The following is a 6,730-nucleotide window of genomic DNA, read 5'->3' on the forward strand; positions in this document are numbered from 1 at the left end:
TCTTTTTACTTACTCCTTTAACAATGAGTGTGTAAATACTAATGAGAGTGACTGTAATGGCTGTTGATGGATGTGTTTTTATCTTTCGCTCATCTGCTTTATCTTTCGCTCATCTGCTTTATCTTTCTATCATCATATATATAGCAATAAGATAAGGTAAGAGAGGCTATGACGAGGAGGGGACTTCCAAGCTCTCAAGGAAAAAGGATGTATTTGGTAATTGTCAGAAATAGAACTTTTTAACGCCTTCCCATCTTTTGGCTTGCACAGCACTGGCTCTTGCTTGTTTTCCGTCTTTGCTGCCTCCTCTTCTTCTAACATTGAAGTGCCTCAGGGGTCCACCTCAGACCCCTTTCTCTTTTCACCAGGAAGGTCCCAGCTACTCTCATGGCTGCAAATGCCTCCCATAGGACTTTGACTACCTGCTCCCTTCCATTTGTAGCCCTGGCCTCTCTTCTGAGCTGCAGATATGACAAGTACAGTCATATCTCCTAGTTCCAGGACTCTCATGAGTACTAAAATCTGTGGATGCCCAAGTCCCCTATACAAAATGGCACAGTGTAGCAGGACGAGCCGCAGACAAAACCTCTCAGACACCGAGTTGTAGAAGGAAGGGCTTTATTCAGCTGGGAGCATCTGCAAGCTACTGTCTCAAAATCCGAGCTCCCCGAGTGAGTAATTCCTGTCCCTTTTAAGGGCTCACAACTCTAAGGATTTCACATGAAAGGGTCGTGATTGATTTGAGCAAGCAGGGGGTACGTGACGGGCTGCATGCACTGGTGGTCAGAGTGAAAGAGAACAGAGCAGGGAGTTTCACAATGTTCTTCCATACAATGCCTGAAATCTATGGGTAACATTGGGTTCTAAGTCATGAGTTGATTCTTAACTACTAGGTTTAGGCCAGGCAGGCCCAGGCCTGGTTTTGAGCCTGGTGCCGGGCTGCCTGTCTTTGATTTCACTTCCTTGTTTTTTTTTTTTTTTAGAACAGGTACTGAGTATAAAACAATATAAAACAATATGAGAGGGTCTCTCTCTTCCCTCGATGGTATTTGCATACAAGCTGTATACATCCTCCCATATACTTTAAATCATCTCTAGATTACCTACAATACTTAATACAATGTAAATGCTACTATATAAATAGTTGTTTCATTGTATTGTTTTTTATTTGTGTGATCTGAGGTTGGCTGAATTCATAGATATGGAACCTGTGGATACGGAGGGCCAACTGTTTACCTACTTGCTCCCTTGAGAAGTCCATTCAGTGGTATAAACAGCACCTCCCACTTAACACATCAACAACTGAAGTGTCCATCTTCTCCCAAGCCTGCGTCTCCTTCATATTTTCTCTGCTCAGCACAGCCAGAAACCCAGGAGCTGCCGTCAGCACACCCCTATCTCTTGTCCCTGCCCCATCCCCTAGCCCTTGCACAGGCTTCTCAAAGCTGTGCCCTTCTCAACATTCCCTCTTCCCAGAATGACTCCACTCCTTCCGAAGTCTCCTCTCTCTTCCTCTTCCTCTTGCCACATCCGCTCTGCAGGAAGAATCAGCAAGTGTGAGCTTTTCAAATGAGAATTGGATCATATTCCCTCCCTTTAAAAAACCCTGTGGGAGTTTCCTGCTGCATTTGAAATGAATGGGAGCTGCTCACAGGCCTGGCCGAGCCCCCTCCTACTCACCGCTGGCCCCTCTCCTGCCCCAGCTCAGGGTCTTCCCTCAGGAGGTTCCTCTCCTCTCTGCTTCACCCAGCAACTCCTAGTGCTCCTTTGCGTCTCAGCTCAAACCTCACTTCTCAGGGTTCCTCCTTGCTCCCCGATTAATTTGTCTCCACTGTTACTCTTCTTTTCTTCATGGCCCCTCTGCTTTGTAATGATTATTTCTGTGTGAATTTGCACATTGGTGTGATGTCTGCCTCCCCTGCATAAGCCCCATGAAGACAGGGATTATGCCTTTTTTCCCTTTTTGTCTGGCACCATTGTGTATCCTTCAGTACCTAGCACATACAGGAACTTGACAAATATTTGTTGACTATATAAATGCCCAGACTCCAGAAAATCAACTATATAAATTGGAAACATAATATTCTATTTATTATTTGAGAGCACGTAATTGTCATTTTAAAACCACAACTGTCCTCAGGCCTGGGGCAGCGTAGCCCTGACCTACGGCCTGTGCTTTAGAGGCCCCGCTCTGGCCTCCCTCAGCGTGTGGCCCTCCCCATGGGTAAGGAGTGCCCAGGGTCAATGGGACAGTCCCACCCTCTGCTCCCACCCCAGCTAGCATGGGCAGATTTAGCAAATAAAAATACATGATGCACAGTTAAATTTGAATTTCAGATAAACCATTTTTTTCTTAGTATAAGTATGCCCCATGCAATATTGGGGACCTACTTATACAAGTATTCAGTTTATCTGGAATTCAAGTTTAACTCTGTGCCCTGTATTTTATTTGGCAGCCTTAGCCCCAGCTTTTAGACTACTTGCCTACAAACCATGGCCTGTGGTCTGAATCCACCTATGTTTGTACCTGAAGTTTTATTGGAACACACCCACACCCGTTCATTTTATGTATTGTCTATGGCTGCTTTCGTGATACGGTGGCAAAGTTGAATAGGGGTGACAGAGACTGCATTGCTCACAAAGCCTAAAATAGTTACCATCTGACCCTTTATAGAAAAGTCAGCTGATCTTGTTCTAGATGACTTCCCCTCACAAGTCCCCGCGCAAGCAATCCTGAGCATACTTCCAGATCATGCAGGGGCCTTTCCCCTGGTCTGGCCTCTGAGGATGGCCCAAGGCTGAGGGGCACAGGGATGTGGATGGGGTTCAGAGGCATGCGTGCAAGGCCCTCACAGTGCACGATGGGCTGACGAGGGTGCTGGATGCTGACCCTCCCTCAGCCATCCTGTTCTGCCTGCAACCTGAGCCTCAGCTTTTGCAATTTGTACCTCGCTTTCCAATTCATTAGGAAGATATATTTTTCCAGATAGGAAACATATTTTATTTACTTTGTGTGTTAGATTGACTTAACTTTTAAATAATTAAACATGTGGTATTTAGGCCTTCTTTTTCCCTCTTGACCTGGACCCCTCAAATGTCAGGTCCGTTTTAATCAAGGCAAAGAAATGTCATCAATAGTGCCATCTTGTGGTGAGATATATACCATTATCATCTTTAAACTGTCCTGCTCCCCTTAAAACAGCACCGAAGTCGTCTAAGTTTAGGAGCTTGCGAACTCTGTCTGCTGTAACAAGGGAAGTTCAGAATTATACCACCAAAGCATTGGGAGGTTTTAAAATGTTTTCTGAGACATTAAAAGGATATTAAATGATATTCAGCACAGTTCTGTTCAAAATTAGTAGTTTATGGGTGGTCCATAATAATAACTTCTCATATTTGTACAGTGCTTTACAGTTTCCAAAGCATGTTCACACACTATTTCCTGTGGGCTCCATTGGCAATGGAGACTCTTATAATCATTGACTTGCCCCAGCTGTCCGGCAAGTCAAGTGCTCTGTCATATTAGAGCCATCTGCTATCAACCACAATGAGGGTTCAGTAGAAAATTAGCAGAGAAGTTACACTTCAGCAAACTGGAACCCTGGTGATGACCTTCCCTTAGTGTTGCCAGGCCAAGATAATAGAGGGGAAGGAAGTTTCTAGAAGGGTATCGTGATCCATCCTTCAATATCAGGGATTTGTGCTCATCGCTTACTATCCGCAACATAGCAACAGAGTGGCTCTATAACATTTCCATCATTCCTTAAACAACTTTGAAGCCCCCTCTCTGCTCAGCAGGCAGAGACCATAGGAGATGCCAAAGATGGCTCCTAGGAGTTAACGTTCACTGATGCCTTCACTCCAGCACAGCCAGGGGGTGGTCTGAGCTGCTGGGATAACTTTTCATTCCAATCTGTCAGAGATTAGCACCTTGTCCAGGGAAAGCTGTGAAAACAGCTTTCCCCAAACAAGCCAGTGTCTGAGCTAGGGAGTTCACCATCATCAGGGCTGACACACAGTTGAATTTCACATTACAGCTGGAAATACATAGAGGGAATTCCGGGAACAAGACAAGCTGGAAGAAGCACTTTTGTTAAATTATACTTTTTTTAAAGATCAATAGATGCTTCAAAGAAGTCCACTGAGGAGGTCGTTGTGTGGCTTTGACAAAAACAGTTGTGTGTCTTGCTTTGGGGAGAGCCAGTCTGAACCACCCAAGAGATGCCTTCCCAACTTTTTCTTTGTGCATAATGTGATTTGAGGGAAAACAAGTTTACTGTGCCTTTCATTGTAGACACCTGGGTTATGCGGTTAGCTAGGGGACCAAGTTTATCAGATCCAGGCTGGCCTCCTGAGCTCCAGACTTATTCATTTATTCATGCATGCACTCAGTAATGTTTATTGTATCCCATCGATGCCTCAGATGCTGTGACTCGGTATCAAATTAATAAGACTTGACCATGCCCATGTGGCATTTATAAGCTGACACTGCTGGGTACCCATATTGCAGGGGACCAGGAAATGCTTTCTCAGGGGGAGACACTTGCACCATGCTTTGAAGGACCAATACCAGTTAGCAAGACAGATGGGGGTGAAGGAAAAGAGCTCAGGTTGGCTGATGCCAAAGCCCATGCTCATAACTGCCAAGCTGCATAGTCTTGCAGAAAACATTTTCTGTTTTGACAGAGAACGTCTCAAGAAGGGACTTTACCAAGAGAAGTTCAGTTCCTAAAGCCCCCATCTCCTTGAAAAGTACTAAGACTGTGTGTTTCACAAATGGCAAGAGAGGGAGGGATAGAGGCAAAAAACGAAACAGTGACTCATGGAGAGATGGAAGCAACCCCGGGACAGTACAGCATGTTCTGCTGACCTCGGCCAGCAGGAGGCAGTGCAGAGCTCTTGGAGGAGTTGTCAGACTACACTCTGGGTGGGAAGGTCCATAAGGGGAAAGCACCCTCTGTAGGAAGGCTGCACCTTCTTTTCGTTGTCTTCATAGTGCTTATTACTTTCCGAAGTGTTATTGGTCAGTTTTTATACTCTTATCATCTCTCTCTGCCTCTCCAGGACACAAGCTCCGCTGGCAAAGGCCACTGCACTCTTGCCTGTCTTGTCCTCTGCTGTGTTCTAAATGCCTGCATTAGAGCCTGGCATGTGCTAATTTCTTAATAAATATTTTTAAAAGTAAGTTAATGTTTGTGTGAAGCTATTCGCTATTGAGAAATGGGCATTGTAGAAAACCTAGGGCCTAGGTGTTGCCTTCTGCTCCTGAAACAGCATCTTAATTAAATGGTCTATTCCACTTTTGCAAGATGGGTAGCAAGCAACATGGGGAAACCAAGCACTGGAGAATTCCTGGAAAAATAGACACCCTTTGTATAATCTGGGCTGAGTCCTGCTGGAGGCAAGGTAGGCTGCCAATGCCTAGCCAGAAAGCCAAGGCCAAGGACCAGTGAGCAGGGAGGAGTGGGCGAGGTCCCGAAGCATGGCAGCAGAGAGAATGGAAGGCACGTATATAATGAGATGTCCACTCCAGTGAGGGCAATGCCAAGACCAGCAGCAGGGCAGTCTGAGGCTCAAGACAGACAAGAGTGATGAACAGAAAAGTGCTAAAGCCAGATCTGTGCTGTGGGACGAGCAGGACAACCTCCTGGGACAGTGAGTGTCTGTGCCTGAGAAACTTTGAAGGCCACGCACTCCCTTGCAGGCGAGCCCATGTTGACTCTAGGGTGAGATTTCTGGTTCAGACTCCTACTGTAATTTTGTGATTTGCTTTTAGTGTTAGCCTCGTGGCCTCGTTCACTTAGGGGCACCAGTTTGTCAACTAGATTTCTATATAATCCAAGAATAAACAACTAGGAAGAAATGCATGTAAAAAAAATACTAGTCCAGCCAGTCAGAGATACATATTGGTCAACCTTTGGTGTATGCTGGGAGCTTGATGTGTGAGAACAAAATGTTCCCTTTAATGGCACTTCAGAGAAGTATGAAGAGTGACACCGTAAGTGACAGCCTTCAAAGCTGAGCAGCTTGGGCTGCATCTGTGGCATGCTGTGGGATCTGCTTCCCGGGACAAGGGTGGCAGAGTCAAAAGAGGCGTTTTCAAATTTTAAATGTAACTGGCCCCAACGTGATGTCAGATTGCTCTTCAGGTTCTTCCCCACCTGCCCTGCATTATTAAAGCCCACCTTGGACTACCTATGGTGATCAACCATTCTGGTTTGCCCAGGACTAAGGACGGTTCCCAGGACATGGGACTTCCAGTTTCAAAACTGGGAAAGTCTCGGGCAAACCGGGACGAGTTGGTCACTAGGTTACCTGCATTGCCAGAGGCTCTTGATCCTTCCCTCCCTCCTTTGGCCATATTAATTATTTTTATTATTTATTATTTCTTTCTTCTCTGATCCCTCAGCCTCCTTTTACCCTTCTCTTGCTTTCAGATTTCCGTCTCCAATTCATGAGGCTGTTCCGTCTCTCCAGGTGTCTCAGGCACCACACTTTTGACACCATCTGGGTTGGTGACTGATGAATGGAATGTGCCTGCTGGGTGCTTAGTTACTGCTGAGGATCTTGCAACTAAATTAGTTTGGGACCCATCAAAACTGCTGCCAACTCAGATGAGGCAAGAAAGGGCTATTTTGTAGCCCTTTTTCCTATGATGTGAGGTCAGGCAGAGGCAGGGATAAACTTCTCTAAGTGTTTGTGTGGTGCTTAAGTCTAAACCATCATTCAC

At 45.6% G+C, this 6,730-nt stretch overlaps 2 annotated features.

The window, feature by feature from the left end:
* Positions 1,036-1,586: an enhancer, noted in NCBI's record as "OCT4-NANOG-H3K27ac hESC enhancer chr14:66424074-66424624 (GRCh37/hg19 assembly coordinates)". NCBI's record gives its function as "activates a minimal SCP1, AML or CMV promoter by ChIP-STARR-seq in primed H9 embryonic stem cells {active_cell/tissue: H9 hESC(primed)}" and the evidence as "EXISTENCE:reporter gene assay evidence [ECO:0000049][PMID:30033119]".
* Positions 1,587-2,136: an enhancer, noted in NCBI's record as "OCT4-NANOG-H3K27ac hESC enhancer chr14:66424625-66425174 (GRCh37/hg19 assembly coordinates)". NCBI's record gives its function as "activates a minimal SCP1, AML or CMV promoter by ChIP-STARR-seq in primed H9 embryonic stem cells {active_cell/tissue: H9 hESC(primed)}" and the evidence as "EXISTENCE:reporter gene assay evidence [ECO:0000049][PMID:30033119]".

The sequence above is a fragment of the Homo sapiens genome, chromosome 14 (genome assembly GCF_000001405.40).
Source record: "Homo sapiens chromosome 14, GRCh38.p14 Primary Assembly".
NCBI lineage: Eukaryota > Metazoa > Chordata > Mammalia > Primates > Hominidae > Homo > Homo sapiens.